This window comes from Homo sapiens, chromosome 20, assembly GCF_000001405.40.
Source record: "Homo sapiens chromosome 20, GRCh38.p14 Primary Assembly".
NCBI lineage: Eukaryota > Metazoa > Chordata > Mammalia > Primates > Hominidae > Homo > Homo sapiens.
In genome coordinates, this window is record NC_000020.11 from 53,455,077 (window position 1) to 53,476,815 (window position 21,739).

Consider the following 21,739-nt stretch of genomic DNA (forward strand, 5'->3'; position numbering starts at 1 on the left):
CTCCTGAGCTGCAGCACCTGATTAAAGCCTTTTTCTCTGGCAATACTTGTTGTCTCAGTGGTTGGCGTTATGTGTGGCGAGCAGTAGGACCTAGACCAAACCCCTGGCCTTTCAGTAACGATGCCCACACCTGCACCACTCAGTCCCATCACCCTGCTTACGGTCTTCACAGCACTCACCTCATCTGACGTGGTCTTGATGGCTTGCTTGCTTATTGTCTTCTCCTCCCTCTGGAATGCAAACTTACCAGAGGCAGAGGTCCTATCTGTCTTGTTCCTTGGTGTGTCCTCTGTATCAAAGCGGTACCCAGTAATGGGCCTGAAGCAAATGTTTTCCCAATATTTACTGAAGGAATCTATGTTCACTGGTAAGTCAAGAGCAAAAAATACACAAAGTTTTGCTACTTCACCTGGTCTAGTGGTCATCGGGCATTATTATTTCATAAATGTATACTAATAATTTTAGTAGCAGTTGAATATGTTTTTCTTTTTTTATTATTATTATACTTTAAGTTTTAGGGTACATGTGCACATTGTGCAGGTTAGTTACATACGTATACATGTGCCATGCTGGTGTGCTGCACCCACTAACTCGTCATCTAGCATTAGGTATATCTCCCAATGCTATCCCTCCCCCGCCCCACCCCACAACAGTCCCCAGAGTGTGATGTTCCCCTTCCTGTGTCCATGTGATCTCATTGTTCAATTCCCACCTATGAGTGAGAATATGCAGTGTTTGGTTTTTTGTTCTTGCGATAGTTTACTGAGAATGATGGTTTCCAATTTCATCCATGTCCCTACAAAGGACATGAACTCATCATTTTTTACGGCTGCATAGTATTCCATGGTGTATATGTGCCACATTTTCTTAATCCAGTCTATCATTGTTGGACATTTGGGTTGGTTCCAAGTCTTTGCTATTGTGAATAATGCCACAATAAACATATGTGTGCATGTGTCTTTATAGCAGCATGATTTATAGTCCTTTGGGTACATACCCAGTAATGGGATGGCTGGGTCAAATGGTATTTCTAGTTCTAGATCCCTGAGGAATCGCCACACTGACTCCCACAATGGTTGAACTAGTTTACAGTCCCACCAACAGTGTAAAAGTGTTCCTATTTCTCCACATCCTCTCCAGCACCTGTTGTTTCCTGACTTTTTAATGATTGCCATTCTAACTGGTGTGAAATGGTATCTCATTGTGGTTTTGATTTGCATTTCTCTGATGGCCAGTGATGATGAGCATTTTTTCATGTGTTTTTTGGCTGCATAAATGTCTTCTTTTGAGAAGTGTCTGTTCATGTCCTTCGCCCACTTTTTGATGGGGTTGTTTTTTTCTTGTAAATTTGTTTGAGTTCATTGTAGATTCTGGATATTAGCCCTTTGTCAGATGAGTAGGTTGTGAAAATTTTCTCCCATTTTGTAGGTTGCCTGTTCACTCTGATGGTAGTTTCTTTTGCTGTGCAGAAGCTCTTTAGTTTAATTAGATCCCATTTGTAAATTTTGTCTTTTGTTGCCTTTGCTTTTGGTGTTTTAGACATGAAGTCCTTGCCCATGCCTATGTCCTGAATGGTAAAGCCTAGGTTTTCTTCTAGGGTTTTTATGGTTTTAGGTCTAACGTTTAAGTCTTTAATCCATCTTGAATTGATTTTTGTATAAGGTGTAAGGAAGGGATCCAGTTTCAGCTTTCTACATATGGCTAGCCAGTTTTCCCAGCACCATTTATTAAACAGGGAATCCTTTCCCCATTGCTTGTTTTTCTCAGGTTTGTCAAAGATCAGATAGTTGTAGATATGCGGCATTATTTCTGAGGGCTCTGTTCTGTTCCATTGATCTATATCTCTGTTTTGGTACCAGTACCATGCTGTTTTGGTTACTGTAGCCTTGTAGTATAGTTTGAAGTCAGGTAGTGTGATGCCTCCAGCTTTGTTCTTTTGGCTTAGGATTGCCTTGGCGATGCGGGCTCTTTTTTGGTTCCATATGAACTTTAAAGTAGTTTTTTCCAATTCTGTGAAGAAAGGCATTGGTAGCTTGATGGGGATGGCATTGAATCTGTAAATTACCTTGGGCAGTATGGCCATTTTCACGATATTGATTCTTCCTACCCATGAGCATGGAATGTTCTTCCAGTTGTTTGTATCCTCTTTTATTTCTTTGAGCAGCAGTTTGTAGTTCTCCTTGAAGAGGTCCTTCACATCCCTTGTAAGTTGGATTCCTAGGTATTTTATTCTCTTTGAAGCAATTGTGAATGGGAGTTCACTCATGATTTGGCTCTCTGTTTGTCTGTTGTTGGTGTATAGGAATGCTTGTGATTTTTGCACATTGATTTTGTATCCTGAGACTTTGCTGAAGTTGCTTATCAGCTTAAGGAGATTTTGGGCTGAGACAATGGGGTTTTCTAGATATACAATCATGTCATCTGCAAACAGGGACAATTTGACTTCCTCTTTTCCTAATTGAATACCCTTTATTTCCTTCTCCTGCCTAATTGCCCTGGCCAGAACTTCCAACACTATGTTGAATAGGAGTGGTGACAGAGGGCATCCCTGTCTTGTGCCAGTTTTCAAAGGGAATGCTTCCAGTTTTTGCCCATTCAGTATGATATTGGCTGTGGGTTTGTCATAGATAGCTCTTATTATTTTGAAATATGTCCCATCAATACCTAATTTATTGAGAGTTTTTAGCATGAAAGGTTGTTGAATTTTGTCAAAGGCCTTCTCTGCATCTATTGAGATAATCATGTGGTTTTTGTCTTTGGCTCTGTTTATATGCTGGATTACACTTATTGATTTGCCTATATTGAACCAGCCTTGCATCCCAGGGATGAAGCCCACTTGATCATGGTGGATAAGCTTTTTGATGTGCTGCTGGATTCGTTTTGCCAGTATTTTATTGAGGATTTTTGCATCAATGTTCATCAAGGATATTGGTCTAAAATTCTCTTTTTTGGTTGAGTCTCTGCCCGGCTTTGGTATCAGAATGATGCTGGCCTCATAAAATGAGTTAGGGAGGATTCCCTGTTTTTCTATTGATTGGAATAGTTTCAGAAGGAATGGTACCAGTTCCTCCTTGTACCTCTGGTAGAATTCGGCTGTGAATCCATCTGGTCCTGGACTCTTTTTGGTTGGTAAGCTATTGATTATTGCCACAATTTCAGCTCCTGTTATTGGTCTATTCAGAGATTCAACTTCTTCCTGGTTTAGTCTTGGGAGAGTGTATGTGTCGAGGAATTTATCCATTTCTTCTAGATTTTCTAGTTTATTTGTGTAGAGGTGTTTGTAGTATTCTCTGATGGTAGTTTGTATTTCTGTGGGATCAGTGGTGATATCCCCTTTGTCATTTTTTATTACATCTATTTGATTCTTCTCTCTTTTTTTCTTTATTAGTCTTGCTAGCAGTCTATCAATTTTGTTGATCCTTTCAAAAAACCAGCTCCTGGATTCACTAGTTTTTTGAAGGGTTTTTTGTGTCTCTATTATTTCCTTCAGTTCTGCTCTGATTTTAGTTATTTCTTGCCTTCTGCTAGCTTTTGAATGTGTTTGCTCTTGCTTTTCTAGTTCTTTTAATTGTGATGTTAGGGTGTCAATTTTGGATCTTTCCTGCTTTCTCTTGTGAGCATTTAGTGCTATAAATTTCCCTCTACACACTGCTTTGAATGCGTCCCAGAGATTCTGGTATGTTGTGTCTTTGTTCTCGTTGGTTTCAAAGAACATCTTCATTTCTGCCTTCATTTCGTTATGTACCCAGTAGTCATTCAGGAGCAGGTTGTTCAGTTTCCATGTAGTTGAGCGGTTTTGAGTGAGATTCTTAATCCTGAGTTCTAGTTTGATTGCACTGTGGTCTGAGAGATAGTTTGTTACAATTTCTGTTCTTTTACATTTGCTGAGGAGAGCTTTACTTCCAAGTATGTGGTCAATTTTGGAATAGGTGTGGTGCGGTGCTGAAAAAAATATATATTCTGTTGATTTGGGGTGGAGAGTCCTGTAGATGTCTATTAGGTCCGCTTGGTACAGAGCTGAGTTCAATTCCTGGGTGTTGACTTTCTGTCTCATTGATCTGTCTAATGTTGACAGTGGGGTGTTAAAGACTCGCATTATTAACGTGTGGGAGTCTAAGTCTCTTTGTAGGTCACTCAGGACATGCTTTATGAATCTGGGTGCTCCTGTATTGGGTGCATATATATTTAGGATAGTTAGCTCTTCTTGTTCAATTGATCCCTTTACCATTATGTAATGGCCTTCTTTGTCTCTTTTGATCTTTGTTGGTTTAAAGTCTGTTTTATCAGAGACCAGGATTGCAACCCCTGCCTTTTTTTGTTTTCCATTTGCTTGGTAGATCTTCCTCCATCCTTTTATTTTGAGCCTATGTGTGTCTCTGCACTTGAGATGGGTTTCCTGAATACAGCACACTGATGGGTCTTGACTCTTTATCCAATTTGCCAGTCTGTGTCTTTTAATTGGAGCATTTAGTCCATTTACATTTAAAGTTAATACTGTTATGTGTGAATTTTATCCTGTCATTATGATGTTAGCTGGTGATTTTGCTCGTTAGTTGATGCAGTTTCTTCCTAGTCTGGATGGTCTTTACATTTTGGCATGATTTTGCAGCGGCTGGTACCGGTTGTTCTTTTCCATGTTTAGCGCTTCCTTCAGGAGCTCTTTTAGGGCAGGCCTGGTGGTGACAAAATCTCTCAGCATTTGCTTGTCTGTAAAGTATTTTATTTCTCCTTCACTTATGAAGCTTAGTTTGGCTGGATATGAAATTCTGGGTTGAAAATTCTTTTCTTTAAGAATGTTGAATATTGGCCCCCACTCTTTCTGGCTTGTAGGGTTTCTGCCGAGAGATCCACTGTTAGTCTGATGGGCTTCCCTTTGAGGGTAACCCGACCTTTCTCTCTGGCTGCCCTTAACATTTTTTCCTTCATTTCAACTCTGGTGAATCTGACAATTATGTGTCTTGGAGTTGCTCTTCTCAAGGAGTATCTTTGTGGCGTTCTCTGTATTTCCTGAAGCTGAACGTTGGCCTGCCTTGCTAGATTGGGGAAGTTCTCCTGGATAATATCCTGCAGAGTGTTTTCCAACTTGGTTCCATTCTCCCCATCACTTTCAGGTACACCAATCAGACGTAGATTTGGTCTTTTCGCATAGTCCCATATTTCTTGGAGGCTGTGCTCATTTCTTTTTATTCTTTTTTCTCTAAACTTCCCTTCTCGCTTCATTTCATCTTCCATCGCTGATACCCTTTCTTCCAGTTGATCGCATCGGCTCCTGAGGCTTCTGCATTCTTCACGTAGTTCTCCAGCCTTGGTTTTCAGCTCCATCAGCTCCTTTAAGCACTTCTCTGTATTGGTTATTCTAGTTATGCATTCTTCTAAAGTTTTTTCAAAGTTTTCAACTTCTTTGCCTTTGGTTTGAATGTCCTCCCGTAGCTCAGAGTAATTTGATCGTCTGAAGCCTTCTTCTCTCAGCTCATCAAAGTCATTCTCCGTCCAGCTTTGTTCCGTTGCTGGTGAGGAGCTGCGTTCCTTTGGAGGAGGAGAGGCGCTCTGCTTTTTAGAATTTCCAGTTTTTCTGTTCTGTTTTTTCCCCATCTTTGTGGTTTTATCTCCTTTTGGTCTTTGATGATGGTGATGTACAGATGGGTTTTTGGTGTGGATGTCCTTTCTGTTTGTTAGTTTTCCTTCTAACAGACAGGACCCTCAGCCACAGGTCTGTTGGAATACCCTGCCGTGTGAGGTGTCAGTGTGCCCCTGCTGGGGGGTGCCTCCCAGTTAGGCTGCTCGGGGGTCAGGGACCCACTTGAGGAGGCAATCTGCCCGTTCTCAGATCTCCAGCTGCGTACTGGGAGAACCACTGCTCTCTTCAAAGCTGTCAGACAGGGACATTTAAGTCTTCAGAGGTTACTGCTGTCTTTTTGTTTGTCTGTGCCCTGCCCCCAGAGGTGGAGCCTACAGAGGCAGGCAGGCCTCCTTGAGCTGTGGTGGGCTCCACCCAGTTCGAGCTTCCCGGCTGCTTTGTTTACCTAAGCAAGCCTGGGCAATGGCGGGCGCCCCTCCCCCAGCCTCGCTGCCGCCTTGCAGTTTGATCTCAGACTGCTGTGCTAGCAATCAGCGAGACTCCATGGGCGTAGGACCCTCCGAGCCAGGTGCGGGATATAATCTCCTGGTGCGCCGTTTTTTAAGCCCGTCAGAAAAGCGCTGTATTCGGGTGGGAGTGACCCGATTTCCAGGTGCGTCCGTCACCCTTTTCTTTGATTAGGAAAGGGAACTCCCTGACCCCTTGCGCTTCCCAAGTGAGGCAATGCCTCGCCCTGCTTTGGCTGGCGCACGGTGTGCGCACCCACTGACCTGCGCCCACTGTCTGGCACTCCCTAGTGAGATGAACCCAGTACCTCAGATGGAAATGCAGAAATCACCCGTCTTCTGCGTCGCTCAGGCTGGGAGCTGTAGACCGGAGCTGTTCCTATTCGGCCATCTTGGCTCCTCCCCCTCCTGTCACAGTTGAATATGTTTTTCAGATAAAATCTTCTACAGTACCCAATATATAAAACAGATGAATATAAATGAGAGTAAGAAGTTCCAAAAAGACTCTCTCAGACACACACTCCTGCATGCCCTTGTTGGAAATTTCTACATCCCATTCTCTTCTGAGAAGCTCTTTTAAAGTCCTTCTTCTGGTCTAAAATTAACATCTGAGATTGCTCTTCTTCATTAATTACTTCATGGTTACCAGGAAGCTAGTTCTGCTCAGTAAGAGATGTAAGTTATGGAGGTGACAATTTCCAACAAACTCTTTTTGAAACATCTAGGGGATTTTCTTTCCCAAACACATTGGTAAACCTATTCAAAACTGAATTCTAAAAGAGAGCTATGGCCCAGGAGCAGTGGCTCATGCCTGTAATCCCAACACTTTGGGAGGCCAAGGAAGGCGGATCACTTGAGGTCAGGAGTTCGAGACCAGCCTGGCCAACATAAAGAAACCCTGTCTCTACTAAAAATACAAAAAAAAAAGAAAAAAAGAAAAAAAACTAGCAGGGCATGGTGGCGGGCACCTGTAATCTCAGCTGCTTGGGAGGTTGAGGTGGAAGAATCACTTGAACCTGGGAGGCGGAGGTTGCAGTGAGCCAAGACTGTGCCATTGTACTCCAGCCTGGGTGACACTGCAAAACCCTGTCTCAAAAACAAAACAAAACAAAAATTCATTTTCTTATAAGGACACCAGTCAGATTGGATTAGGGCCCATCTTAACAGCCTCATGTTTACTTAATTACTTCTTTAAAGATTCTGTGTCCAGGCAGTCACATTCAGAGGTGCTGGGGCTTAGGGCTTCAATGTAAGAATTCGGTGGGGACACAATTCATACCCACAACACTGGCCTCCACGCTGTTGGTCAATAAAGCTTTTGTTGTTATTCCTTTACCTTCCCTACTGCCACCCTGCCCCAGCCCTGGCTTCAGAAGGAGCAGCTTGTAGCTATGGGAACCTTCTACGCAAGCTTCCCATTAACTTCATTTAGCTTCATTTATGGCTGTGCTTGGGAGGACTGAACATTTTCTAGTAAATGTTATAAGGAAAGCATTTAAAATACATATCATAGCTGCTCAACAGCTGATTTGGGGGTGGAGGAAAGCCTTGAATTACTTTGAGAAAGAAAGCCTGGTTCCATGTTTCTGCAGTGCACAAATAGGATGGCAGAACACATGCTTGGAAGCTTCCACCAGGAGGTCACATGAGCCAGTGGTTAAGGGGCAGGGGTGATGGGAGCAAGTAAAAAGGGATCCAAATCCAGGTTCCACCTCTAATAACCATAGTGACCCCAACTACTTGTGGTCCCATGAGCCAGTTGACCCTTCTGCATAATGGTCATGCTGATCATCCCCATCTCCCTTTTGTTGTGGGGGCCTCTCTGTTCATGTAAAGTGCCTCACACAATGCCTGGTATAAGGTAAGTCCACAATAACTGATAACAGCTATTGTTGTTATCACTGAAATGCAAATAAATCAACAGAGCCCAGGGACTCAAAGGTCTTGTACAACTAGACCACTTTGGCTCTGGATTGTACATAAGATTTGCTGCCTTTATATGCAGTGGTGCACTGCACTTCTAAAATAAATATTTGTGTATGCTTGTGAAGGAACTTAGTCTATCTAGAAATGCAGTTTTAGGATTGGGTGCAGTGGCTGATGCCTGCAATCTTAGCACTTTGGGTAGAGACAGGAGAATCACATGAGCCCATGAGCCTAGGAGTTTGAGACTAGCCTGGCAACATAGGGAGACCCCTGTCTTGAAAGACAGAGAGAGAGAGGAAGGAAGGAAGGAAGGAAGGAAGGAAGGAAGGAAGGAAGGAAGGAAGGAAGGAGGGAGGGAGGGAAGGAAGGAAGGAAGGTTGGCTTAGGGGGTAGGGAGAGGAAAGAAAGAGAGAAGGAAGAGAGGAATGTCGTAGAATTATAGAAGTTATGTGTTCTACCATGTCTCTGAAAGAAGGATTAACTGATTAAATGGTAGAAATAAGTGAATAAATGAATCCTATCTGAGAGCAGTAGTTCTCAATCTTGGTAGTGCATTAGAATCCCCTGAGGAACTTTTAAAAACCCCGGGCCCAAGTCATACCCTGGACTAGTCAAGGCAAAACCTTGGGGAGTAGGGCCCAGGCATCCACAGGTGACTCCTACCTGGAGTGGGGCCAAGTGACAGAATCTGCTTAGAGGCGGGAGCCTCAGCTGGACATCTCTGAGTCACTTATTAGGTGTGAACTTGGTCAAGTTGCTTAACATCTCTGAGCCTTGATTTCCTCCTCTATCTTGAGGATTAAATAAGATATAATTGGTAAAACACAGGCTCCCTATCGACAATGGACCGAAGTGCTGAATAGCAGGTGTTTCCCATTATTACCGCCATCATTGCCATCCAGTGCGTAAGCCTGAGCCTCCATGTCACCACCCGCAAAATGGTAGGGGAGAAAGGATGCCTGAAGACCCTTTACTTTCATTCTGATGATTCTATCAAGGTAGAGCAATGGGCCAAGTCAACAGAAAAGTTCACCTGTCTTCACCAAGTGACAGCCATGGACCAGGAGCCATGGTGGCAACTCTGGAGACTGTTGCACAAACAGTCCCACCTCTGCTCTCCTAGAACCTGAATGCTAGTGGGGAGACATGTCAAACAGTGCTCGTCCAGACCAATATATTATTCATGACAAGAGGGATCTAAGAGAGAGGAAATCTGAGGACCTCATCTGGATCCCAGGAGAAGAAAAGATCTTTCTGACAACGAGCTCTTTAAACCAGGGGATGAATGTGGAGTAGGAACTGTCTAGGTGGAGTTGTGAGAAGGGCCCTTCAGGCAGGGGTAGAACAGGAGCAAAGGCTGTGAGGAGGGAAGGAGCTTGGATTTTTTTTTTCTAAGAGACAAATTCTCTCTCATTGCGCAGGCTAGAGTGCAGTGGTACAACCATGGCTCCCTGCAGCCTCTACCTCCCAGCTCAAGTGATTCTCCTACCTCAGCCTCCCAAGTAGCTGGAACTATAGGTGCACACCACCATGCCCAGCTAACTTTTTTACTTTTTACTTTTTGTAGAGACAGGGTCTTGCTATGTTACCCAGGCTGGTGTCAAACTCCTGGGCTCAAGAGTCCTCCTGCCTCTGCTTCCCAAAGTGCTGGGATTACAGGTGTCAGCCACCACGCCCAGTCAGTATTTTTCTTTCTAAGAGACACAGTCTCACTCTGTGGCCCAGTCTGGAGGGCAACGGTGTGGTTACAGCTCACTGCAGCCTTAAACTCCTGGGCTCAAATGATCCTCCTGCCTCAGCCTTGCAAGTCACTGGGATTACAGGCATGAGCCACCACGCTCAGCTTAGAGGTAGACATATTTGAGGTGCTTTTACTTAAAACATGGATACTTGAACTTTTAAAAGCATCTTTTTTTCTTAGAGCATCCTGGGCAACTTGGGTTCCCCATAACATACTTCAGGAAAGGGCAGGGGAGCCCAGTGAGGCCAGGGTTGAGCTCCAGACAAATCTTGATTTCATTCCAGCTTCACTGGGAAATGGCTGTGTGAATGCAGGGGACAATTTAACCTCCCGAAACTTCATCCATAAGGAGAAAGTAAGAACTCATATTTTGCCACTCATTTGTAAAAATTGGTAATTATTGATAATAATCAAATTGGTAAAGGGAAATAGTTATTACTTTTGTGTGTGTGTGTGTGTGTGAGACAGAGTCTCGCTCTGTCACCCAGGCTGAAGTGCAATGGCGCGATCTTGGCTCACAGCAACCTCTGCCTCCTGGGTTCAAGAGATTCTCCTGTCTCAGCCTCCCGAGAAGCTGGGACTACAGGCACCCACCACCACACCCGACTAATTTTTGTATTTTTAGTAAAGACGAGTTTTCACCATGTTGGTCAGGCTGGTCTTGAACTCCTGACCTCAAGTGAGCCACCTGCCTCGGCCTTCCAAATTGCTAGGATTGTAGGCATGAGACACCGCACCCAGCCAGAAATCTTTATTACTATGAAGCAGCAGGGTACATTGGTGACAGAAACCTGAGTTCAAATCCCAGCTCTGCTACTTCCCAGGCATGTGCTGTTGGTCCTGGTACTTAGATCTCTGACCCTCAGTTTTCTGATCTCTCAAAAAGAAAAAGGAGTTTATAAGAGCTATCTTTAAGGGACTATTATAACAATTAAATAAAACAATAGCAGTCAAGCTTCAGGCAAAAGATGGAAACTCAATAAATGAAAACTACCATTAAAATGAATACAAACTCTTCTTAGGAAGAGGGTTTGGCTGAATTATTTAAGTGTGTGTTCCAATCTACCAACCCTCTTTTCCAGTGTAGACACAACCACAAACATCGCCACCATGAGCTTAGACATATAATCACAGTGGTTAAAAAAAAAAAAAAAAAAGACTGTAATCCCAGCACTTTGGGGGGCCCAAGGCAGGTGAATCACAAGGGTCAGGAGTTCGAGACTAGCCTGGCCAAGATGGTGAAACCCCGTCTCTACTAAAAATACAAAAATTAGCTGGGTGTGATGGCACATGCCTGTAATCCCAGCCACTTGGGTGGCTGAGGCAGGAGAAATCACTTGAACCGGGGAGGCAGAGGTTGCAGTGAGCCGAGATCGTGCTGTTGCACTCTAGACTGGGCGACAGAGCAAGACTCTGCCTCGAAAAATAAAAATAAAAAAAAAAAAAGAAAGAGAAAAAGGAAAAAAAAAAAAGTCTACCTTGTTTATGTCCATACTTGGAGGGCATACCGTTCTTATTAAATGCCAGCAACTCACATTTTAGGCAGCAGTAAAGTCCCCTAGCTGTGTCCATGCAGTGAATCTCGTTGGGCTGTAAGTTAGCTGCAATAAATAACATTGGCTCTGCACTCCACTTAGAGAAGATGGGTTCACTGTGAATCATGTTGTTGGCGGTTTGGACTTTAAGCTGTCCAGGTTGTTTATGGTGGTGTTTGCCAGCATGTAGACCTCTTTCAAACAATTTAAGTGCTCTTTTGGAGTATACGAATGTGGCTCAATAAAAATGGGTACAGGAAAATTGCCTCCTTTCTCTCTTCTATGGCCATACCCCAAAAGCAACCATATATGACAATTGTCAAGTGTTAAGTATAATTGCTCAACATGAAATTATAATTAACACTGAAGCCACCAGGGACATTTTCTCTCTCCATTGTCAGGATGTTGTCCTGATCTGGATGTTGTCCTGATCTTTGTGACCCTTTTAATTTATCTTTTGAAAGGATGGCAACAGCTGGGTAGTTTTTCAATCCTTATCATTTTGCATTATATAGCTTTACTGAGCAATGTGCCTTTGGAAGATTCTAGTTAGTTTCATTGACAGCAATAAATACTGGTTAGAGAACAGGCTTTGAAGTCAGGCAGACCTAAGCCCAAAGGCTGGCTCTCCCACTTGCTAACTATCTGATCTTGATTACATTTCTTAGCCAATCCAAGGCTCTCTCTTCTCATCAACAAATACAGACAATGAAATCTACTGTCAGGTAGTACTGAGGAAGGCAGAGCTTCTAACAAGCACTTAATAAAATGGTAGATATTATGACTGTTTTCTGCTTTCTTCTTCTTAATATCCACATCAAATGTTTTGAAATGCTATTTTCTCCTTTTTTATAAAAAGGGAAAAATTTTCTTAGCTTCCCTTCTGAATTGACAACTGATTTCTTTTCAACATTTGTTTAATGCAGCAACGAAAGAGCTTTTTGACTTCATTTTTTAAATTTCCAGAAGGAAAGAGTGGTCTATTTTCCAAGACCTAATGACTACTTATTTGTAACACATAAGCAGAATTTTATGCATGTATTTTTAATTTATTCTACATCTCATTCCACAGCAGTTTTAAGATACTGTACTATATGCAATGCAGCAAAATTATAAAAGAAATAATAGAAATCATTAAAGATATCTACATTTCGTTAAGCACTTATTGAACGCCAGGCAACATTTGTGAAAAGTACTATATATTATTATCCTGATTTTGCTGATGCGGAAACTGAGATTAAGAAAAGGTAAGTTATGTCCCCCAATATCACACAGCTAGTAAATGGCAGAGCCAAACTATTAACACATATACCAAAGGAAAATGGAAAGAGAATATCAAAAGAAGTTTACAGGTATAGACTGCAGCCTTAGGAGGCTACATAATTACTAAAGTTGGGCCACCAATTTGACTCTGAGCTTCCTGGTAGTGAAAGCAAGAATGCAAACATGATCCATCCCAAGAACCACCTTTCCATGAGGATATGTGTACCAGGCTTTAAAAGCAAGCAACGTCTTCCCTAATACGTAGTGTCTGGAAGAGATTTATGACATAACTTTTGTGACATAGTCAAATGCAACAGAGACGACAGGAGGTTCCCGTGATAGAACCAAATATTTGAAACTAAAAAAAAACATTCTTTCTGTAAAAGAAAAAAAAATAACACCACTCCTTCCTGCAAAAATGTTTTACTTAACACTGGGCTCCATCTCTTTTTTATAATTATTCAATCCAAGCTTTGTCAAAGCATCATACTGAGAAGAGATTCATGTTAAAAAGCTAGTGGAGGGGGGTGGAGTAGATAGCAGAGAATGCCTCTCTGTCTTATCATTTTTATTTAGATTGACATACCTTTGATTATAATTAGGGATAACTGTTCAGCAGTTAAGACTCCATAATCCCATCATTAGTTGTCAGGAGATTTTCACAGGGCAAACTCTCATGCCATTTCTCTCATTTCTGTTTCTTAACTACTTGGGCAGCCTGCAGTTGAAGAGTGTGCTTTATGGAAAAGATTTTCTGCTGCCATTGAAATCTTCTAAGCTGACACACAGTTAAGGACACAAATGAAACCTCCACTCTTGGGAGGCCCCACATCTTCTTGCCTGACATTTTTGTTGTTGTTGTTCTCCAAGATATCGCCCTGTTTCTGCTGGTTGCGTTCAACAGCCATTTTGCACACACTGGTGAAGAGATCTTAAACCATTTCAGAGGTGGCCCATAAAGGAGGCAAAAGGGGACTTGCCGTAAAAATTATTTCCATAGACATGCAAAGTTGATTATATAAGGTAGAGGTCAGTTAAGATTCTCTGGCATCCATTACGAGACAAAAAAAAAAAAAAAAAAAAACTAAAAAAACTCTCCTCCAACTTGAAAGCTGAAGGCAGTGGGTCGTCTGGTTTGTGTCATGAAACATACATCATGCATTTGAGACACATATTACAAATTGTACTTTAAAAGAGGAAGTTCAGAAGTTGGGATTTTCCAGTGTGTCAATTATGACCCGAATGCTATCTATATTTAAATGTTCCAAGCCGACTATCATGATCATGTCCCCTTATTCTTCAAGGGTCTGATGAAGTACCCCTTTGACAAGGAATGAATGGTCTCATCAGTACAGATCCAACTCAACATCAGGAACAATTAGCTTGGCAGTTAAACCTAAAGGCTCTGAAATCGATATTTTATATATATATATATATATATATATATATATATATATATGTACATATTCTAATTGAATGTTAGAATATTCGGTTTCACTTATAATTATTCAGATAGGTCACTTCAAGTCTCTAAACCTAGAGAGGTTTTTTTCTCTGTAATATTGGATACCTTGTTGGATTGTTTTAATAATTAACAGAAATAATGCATATGTGGTGGATCAAAAATGACAATCATGGCCAGATGCAGTGGATCACACCTGTAATCCCCACACTCTGGGAGGCTGAGGTGAGTGGATCACTTGAGGTCAGAAGTTCAAGACCAGCCTGGCCAACATGGTGAAACCCCATCTCTACTAAAAATACAAAAATTAGCTGGACATGGTGGTGCACGCCTGTAGTCCCAGCTACTTGGGAGGCTGAGGCATGAGAATCACTTGAACCCAGGAGGTGGAGGTTGCAGTGAGCCGAGATCACGCCACTGCACTCCAGCCTGGGTGAGTGAGACTCTGTCAAGAAAAGAAAGAAGGAGGGAAGGAAGGAAGGAAGGAAGGAAGGAAGGAAGGAAGGAAGGACCCAAGAAAGATAGATAGAGAGGGAGGAAGGGAGGGAGGAAGGAAGGAAGGAAGGAAGGAAGGAAGGAAGGAAGGAAGGAAGGAAGGACGGACCCAAGAAAGATAGAGAAAGAGAGAGGGAGGAAGGGAGGGAGGAAGGAAGGAAGGACCCAAGAAAGATAGAGAGGGAGGAAGGGAGGGAGGGAGGGAGGAAGGAAGGAAGGAAGGACCCAACAAAGATAGAGAAAGAGAGAGGGAGGAAGGGAGGGAGGGAGGAAGGAAGGAAGGACCCAAGAAAGAAAAAAAAGAGAGAGAGGAAAGGAGGAAGGAAGGAAGGAAGGAAGGCAGGCAGGCAGGCAGGCAGGCAGACACAACCCAGATATTACTGATATATAACTGTTAAAATGTTTTCATTAACTCAACCGTTCTGAGGTTTGATAGAAGAAGAAAAAAAGAGTCCCTCTTGCCATTTGGAAACTCAGCCACTTTGTTCTTTCTGGTTTATTTTGTGACCTCCCTTTCCGACAGCAATTAGTCTCAGTCTCTGTTGTCAACGCTGGGAAAACTACATGGAAGAAAGGAATTAAGGAAAGGCAATACATCAGAAAGTGTTTTAAAATAGTATCCACTCACCCACATGAAGCTGTGTCTGGCATATCAAAAGTAAAGTATTCAATATATTTAAGCAATTACCTGTATTTTATTCACTCTAAGAATTGAAATTTGTCCACTAAAGTTGAAGGGTTTCCTCACACAGAGATTTCTCTTAGGAAAAATTAAATGAAACACTAATAATGAAATTCAGCAATGTAGATAAGCCAATTTGCATTTCCAAATTGTAATTCCATTTGAAAAATATTAACTACAGGTTTCTCCCAGGATTACACCGCTAAGCATCATGTGTCTCCATTGCTCCTTTGCTTCCTTGTCACAGTCTTTTTAAAATAATAACACTTGGCCGGGCGCGGTGGCTCATGCCTGTAATCCCAGTACTTTGGGAGGCCGGGGTGGGCAGATCACTTGAGGCCAGGAGTTCAAGAATCAGCCTGGCCAAAATAGTGAAACCCGCCTCCTAAAAATACAAAAATTAGTCAGGTGTGGTGGTGCGCACCTGTAACCCCAGCCACTCAGAAGGCTAAGACAGAGAATCGCTTGAACCCGGGAGGCAGAGGTTGCAGTGAGCGGAGATTGCGCCACTGCACTCCAGCCTGGATGATAGAGCAAAAATCCATCTCAAAAAAAATAAATAAATAAAACACTAAATATAGGTTTTTCTTTTTTCATTTTCAACCAAACAGCTTTAAGAAGCCCTAAATTAGGAGTCATGTGTCCTGACCTATCACTGAATCACCCTGAGAGCAAGTTACTTAAACTCCCTCTGCTTCAACTTCTTTATCTTTGGGGTACTAATATTTATCCAATATGTTTCAAAAGAGAATGTATATGAATGGTCTTTGAAAAAAATGTAAATTGCTTCAAAATGACAGACAAAATTATTCTTTGAACTTGAAAGCACCAAATAGATGGCAAAGCTTCTGGAGTCCGCTTGTGTTTCCTTGGGCTATTTTTCCAGTCTCTTTCCATGCTCTAAGTTGTTTCTTTCATAGAATTAGAGAAATAGGATTCTAGGTACATCTATTTTTTTTTCTTTTGTATTGTTTTAGTGATAAATACTTTAAAACCCTTCATGGTTTCCATGTTAGAAAAGATAGGCTTCAAATTAGTGTCTTTAGAACTCCATTCATTCAACAAGTATTTATCAAGGACCCACTCTGTGACAGATAGTGGGTTTTATACTTGGGACTGTGCTGTGCTCAAACTCTCACCTTCCTGGAGTTTACACAGGCAGGCACTAAACTCAAAATTATATATGCGATGATGTGCTTATACGCTGCAATAAGTCTTATAAGGACACTGCAAAAGGTTCATGCAAGATGATAACAAAAGAATGTAGTCAAGTCCTATGGGTAAGAAAAGACTTATTTGAGAAAGCACCATCTGAACTGAGACTTCAAGGATGAAAAGGTGCTGGCCAAACAAAGAGTGGGAAGAAGAGCATGCTAAGCAGAGGGAGCAGCACGTGCAAAGACCCTGAGGCCAGTGTTCTTGGTATATATCAAGTGGCAGAGGGACCCAGGTGAAGGCAGAGGGATGGCAAGACCAGATCAAGCAGGACATTAAAACAAGTTTGTCTTTTTTCTAAGTGCCGTAGACACTTTTCTTTTCTTTTTTTTTTTTTTTTTTTTGAGATAGAGTTTCACTCTTGTTGCCCAGGCTGGAGCACAATGGCATGATCTCGGCTCACTACGACCTCCATCTCCCAGTTCAAGCGATTCTCCTGCCTCAGCCTCCCGAGTAGCTGAGATTACAGGCATGTGCCACCACGCCCAGCTAATTTTGTATTTTTAGTAGAGACAGGGTTTCTTCATGTTGGTCAGGCTGGTCTCAAACTCCCGATGTCAGGTGATCTGCCTGCCTAGGCCTCCCAAAGTGCTGGGACTACAGGTGTGAGCCCGCGCCCGGCCAGGCCATTGACAGATTCTAAGCTGGAATGAGGAGTGACCCAACTTAATTTGAGATTTTATAAGCTCACTTTGTTTGCTATATGGAAAGTTATCAGAAGGACACCAAGTGGACTAAAACAGCCCACTGAGCGAATGCCACAGCCATCCAGGGCAGATAGGCGCAGGCCTGAATTGTGTGCACAATTGCAGGTGGCCGTGGAAATACAGTTCGGGAGGATTTCATGACTAGGGTCAGGGTGAGCCATTGGATGCGAGGGAGGAGTGAGGGCACAGTCAAAGACGACCGAACTTTCTGGCTGAAAGTTGAGTCATATGAGTTCCATTTCCTGTGAAGAGGAATACAGAGGGGTACAGAATAAGGATTGGGGGTGCAAGCACCCTGTTTGGGGAAAGGTTTTATTGAAGTAGTTGTGAGATCTTCACAAACAGATGCCAAGATGCCAGCTGGATGTTCAGATCTGGAACTCACAGTCACCAGCACGCAGACGATATTTCAAGTTTCAGAACTGGAAGATGCTGCTTAGAAAGAGCTCCTCAGGGGGGAGGGAGGAGCCAAGATGGCCGAATAGGAACAGCTCCAGTCTACAGCTCCCAGCCTGAGCGACGCAGAAGACGGTGATTTCTGCATTTCCATCTGAGGTACCAGGTTCATCTCACTAGGGAGTGGCAGACAGTGGGCGCAGGTCAGTGGGTGCGCGCACCGTGCGCGAGCCGAAGCAGGGTGAGGCATTGCCTCACTCGGGAAGCGCAAGGGGTCAGGGAGTTCCCTTTCCGAGTCAAAGAAAGGGGTGACGGACGGCACCTGGAAATCGGGTCACTCTCACCCGAATACTGCGCTTTTCCGACGGGCTTAAAAAACGGCGCACCACGAGATTATATCCCGCACCTGGCTGGGAGGGTCCTACGCCCACGGAGTCTCGCTGATTGCTAGCACAGCAGTCTGAGATCAAACTGCAAGATGGCAGTGAGGCTGGGGGAGGGGCGCCCGCCATTGCCCAGGCTTGCTTAGGTAAACAAAGCAGCCGGGAAGCTCCAACTGGGCCCAGCCCACCACAGCTCAAGGAGTCCTGCCTGCCTCTGTAGGCTCCACCTCTGGGGGCAGGGCACAGACAAACAAAAAGACAGCAGTAACCTCTGCAGACTTAAATGTCCCTGTCTGACAGCTTTGAAGAGAGCAGTGGTTCTCCCAGCACGCAGCTGGAGATCTGAGAACGGGCAGACTGCCTCCTCAAGTGGGTCCCTGACCCCTGACCCCCGAGCAGCCTAACTGGCAGGCACCCCCCAGCAGGGGCACACTGACACCTCACACGGCAGGGTATTCCAACAGACCTGTGGCTGAGGGTCCTGTCTGTTAGAAGGAAAACTAACAAACAGAATGGACATCCACACCAAAAACCCATCTGTACATCACCATCATCAAAGACCAAAAGTAGATAAAACCACAAAGATGGGGAAAAAACAGAACAGAAAAACTGGAAACTCTAAAACGCAGAGCGCCTCTCCTCCTCCAAAGGAACGCAGTTCCTCACCAGCAACGGAACAAAGCTGGATGGAGAATGACTTTGACGAGCTGAGAGAAAAAGGCTTCAGACGATCAAATTACTCTGAGCTACGGGAGGACATTCAAACCAAAGGCAAAGAAGTTGAAAACTTTGAAAAAACTTTAGAAGAATGTATAACTAGAATAACCAATACAGAGAAGTGCTTAAAGGAGCTGATGGAGCTGAAAACCAAGGCTGGAGAACTACGTGAAGAAGGCAGAAACCTCAGGAAGCGATGCAATCAACTGGAAGAAAGGGTATCAGCGATGGAAGATGAAATGAATGAAATGAAGCGAGAAGAGAAGTTTAGAGAAAAAAGAATAAAAAGAAATGAGCAAAGCCTCCAAGAAATATGGGACTATGTGAAAAGACCAAATCTACGTCTGATTGGGGTACCTGAAAGCGATGGAGAGAATGGAACCAAGTTGGAAAACACTCTGCAGGATATTATCCAGGAGAACTTCCCCAATCTAGCAAGGCAGGCCAACGTTCAGATTCAGGAAATGCAGAGAACGCCACAAAGATACTCCTCGAGAAGAGCAACTCCAAGACACATAATTGTCAGATTCACCAGAGTTGAAATGAAGGAAAAAATGTTAAGGGCAGCCAGAGAGAAAGGTCGGGTTACCCTCAAAGGGAAGCCCATCAGACTAACAGCGGATCTCTCAGCAGAAACCCTACAAGCCAGAAGAGAGTGGGGGCCAATATTCAACATTCTTAAAGAAAAGAATTTTCAACCCAGAATTTCATATCCAGCCAAACTAAGCTTCATAAGTGAAGGAGAAATAAAATACTTTACAGACAAGCAAATGCTGAGAGATTTTGTCACCACCAGGCCTGCCCTAAAAGAGCTCCTGAAGGAAGCGCTAAACATGGAAAAGAACAACCGGTACCAGCCGCTGCAAAATCATGCCAAAATGTAAAGACCATCCAGACTAGGAAGAAACTGCATCAACTAACGAGCAAAATCACCAGCTAACATCATAATGACAGGATAAAATTCACACATAACAGTATTAACTTTAAATGTAAATGGACTAAATGCTCCAATTAAAAGACACAGACTGGCAAATTGGATAAAGAGTCAAGACCCATCAGTGTGCTGTATTCAGGAAACCCATCTCAAGTGCAGAGACACACATAGGCTCAAAATAAAAGGATGGAGGAAGATCTACCAAGCAAATGGAAAACAAAAAAAGGCAGGGGTTGCAATCCTAGTCTCAGATAAAACAGACTTTAAACCAACAAAGATCAAAAGAGACAAAGAAGGCCATTACATAATGGTAAAGGGATCAATTGAACAAGAAGAGCTAACTATCCTAAATATATATGCACCCAATACAGGAGCACCCAGATTCATAAAGCAAGTTCTGAGTGACCTACAAAGAGACTTAGACTCCCACACATTAATAATGGGAGACTTTAACACCCCACTGTCAACATTAGACAGATCAACGAGACAGAAAGTCAGCAAGGATACCCAGGAATTGAACTCAGCTCTGCACCAAGTGGACCTAATGGACATCTACATAACTCTCCACCCCAAATCAACAGAATATACATTTTTTTCAGCACCACACCACACCTATTCCAAAATTGACCACATACTTGGAAGTAAAGCTCTCCTCAGCAAATGTAAAAGAACAGAAATTATAACAAACTATCTCTCAGACCACAGTGCAATCAAACTAGAACTCAGGATTAAGAATCTCACTCAAAACCGCTCAACTACATGGAAACTGAACAACCTGCTCCTGAATGACTACTGGGTACATAACGAAATGAAGGCAGAAATGAAGATGTTCTTTGAAACCAACGAGAACAAAGACACAACATACCAGAATCTCTGGGACGCATTCAAAGCAGTGTGTAGAGGGAAATTTATAGCACTAAATGCCCACAAGAGAAAGCAGGAAAGATCCAAAATTGACACCCTAACATCACAATTAAAAGAACTAGAAAAGCAAGAGCAAACACATTCAAAAGCTAGTAGAAGGCAAGAAATAACTAAAATCAGAGCAGAACTGAAGGAAATAGAGACACAAAAAACCCTTCAAAAAATTAATGAATCCAGGAGCTGGTTTCTTGAAAGGATCAACAAAATTGATAGACCACTAGCAAGACTAATAAAGAAGAAAAGAGAGAAGAATCAAATAGACGCAATAAAAAATGACAAAGGGGATATCACCACCGATCCCACAGAAATACAAACTACCATCAGAGAATACTACAAACACCTCTATGCAAATAAACTAGAAAATCTAGAAGAAATGGATAAATTCCTCGACACATACACTCTCCCAAGACTAAACCAGGAAGAAGTTGAATCTCTGAATAGACCAATAACAGGATCTGAAATTGTGGCAATAATCAATAGCTTACCAACCAAAAAGAGTCCAGGACCAGATGGATTCACAGCCGAATTCTACCAGAGGTACAAGGAGGAACTGGTACCATTCCTTCTGGAACTATTCCAATCAATAGAAAAAGAGAGAATCCTCCCTAACTCTTTTTATGAGGCCAGCATCATTCTGATACCAAAGCCAGGCAGAGACACAACAAAAAAAGAGAATTTTAGACCAATATCCTTGATGAACATTGATGCAAAAATCCTCAATAAAATACTGGCAAAACGAATCCAGCAGCACATCAAAAAGCTTATCCACCATGATCAAGTGGGCTTCATCCCTGGGATGCAAGGCTGGTTCAATATAGGCAAATCAATAAGTGTAATCCAGCATATAAACAGAGCCAAAGACAAAAACCACATGATTATCTCAATAGATGCAGAGAAGGCCTTTGACAAAATTCAACAACACTTCGTGCTAAAAACTCTCAATAAATTAGGTATTGATGGGACGTATTTCAAAATAATAAGAGCTATCTATGACAAACCCACAGCCAATATCATACTGAATGGGCAAAAACTGGAAGCATTCCCTTTGAAAACTGGCACAAGACAGGGATGCCCTCTGTCACCACTCCTATTCAACATAGTGTTGGAAGTTCTGGCCAGGGCAATTAGGCAGGAGAAGGAAATAAAGGGTATTCAATTAGGAAAAGAGGAAGTCAAATTGTCCCTGTTTGCAGATGACATGATTGTATATCTAGAAAACCCCATTGTCTCACCCCAAAATCTCCTTAAGCTGATAAGCAACTTCAGCAAAGTCTC

At 42.7% G+C, this 21,739-nt stretch overlaps 1 protein-coding gene and 1 long non-coding RNA gene across 12 annotated transcripts in view, besides 3 other annotated features; one reads left to right on the forward strand and one right to left on the reverse strand.

The window, feature by feature from the left end:
• Positions 1–21,739, forward strand: part of TSHZ2 (teashirt zinc finger homeobox 2) — a 522,973-nt gene that overhangs the window by 482,719 nt on the left and 18,515 nt on the right. The gene's annotated exons all lie outside the window — the stretch shown is intronic.
• Positions 1–21,739, reverse strand: part of TSHZ2-AS1 (TSHZ2 antisense RNA 1) — a 72,348-nt gene that overhangs the window by 23,106 nt on the left and 27,503 nt on the right. Inside the window, exons 2-3 of one of the 2 annotated variants that reach the window (NR_187667.1) lie at positions 6,393–6,528; positions 180–364 (exon numbers count right to left, since the gene is read on the reverse strand). This is a non-coding gene — a long non-coding RNA (TSHZ2 antisense RNA 1). The remainder of the gene's footprint in view (positions 1–179; positions 365–6,392; positions 6,529–21,739) is intronic. The other variant, NR_187666.1, reaches the window with a different exon arrangement.
• Positions 5,526–6,104: an enhancer, noted in NCBI's record as "NANOG-H3K27ac-H3K4me1 hESC enhancer chr20:52077141-52077719 (GRCh37/hg19 assembly coordinates)". NCBI's record gives its function as "activates a minimal SCP1, AML or CMV promoter by ChIP-STARR-seq in primed H9 embryonic stem cells {active_cell/tissue: H9 hESC(primed)}" and the evidence as "EXISTENCE:reporter gene assay evidence [ECO:0000049][PMID:30033119]".
• Positions 6,105–6,682: an enhancer, noted in NCBI's record as "NANOG-H3K27ac-H3K4me1 hESC enhancer chr20:52077720-52078297 (GRCh37/hg19 assembly coordinates)". NCBI's record gives its function as "activates a minimal SCP1, AML or CMV promoter by ChIP-STARR-seq in primed H9 embryonic stem cells {active_cell/tissue: H9 hESC(primed)}" and the evidence as "EXISTENCE:reporter gene assay evidence [ECO:0000049][PMID:30033119]".
• Positions 17,836–18,453: an enhancer, noted in NCBI's record as "H3K27ac-H3K4me1 hESC enhancer chr20:52089451-52090068 (GRCh37/hg19 assembly coordinates)". NCBI's record gives its function as "activates a minimal SCP1, AML or CMV promoter by ChIP-STARR-seq in primed H9 embryonic stem cells {active_cell/tissue: H9 hESC(primed)}" and the evidence as "EXISTENCE:reporter gene assay evidence [ECO:0000049][PMID:30033119]".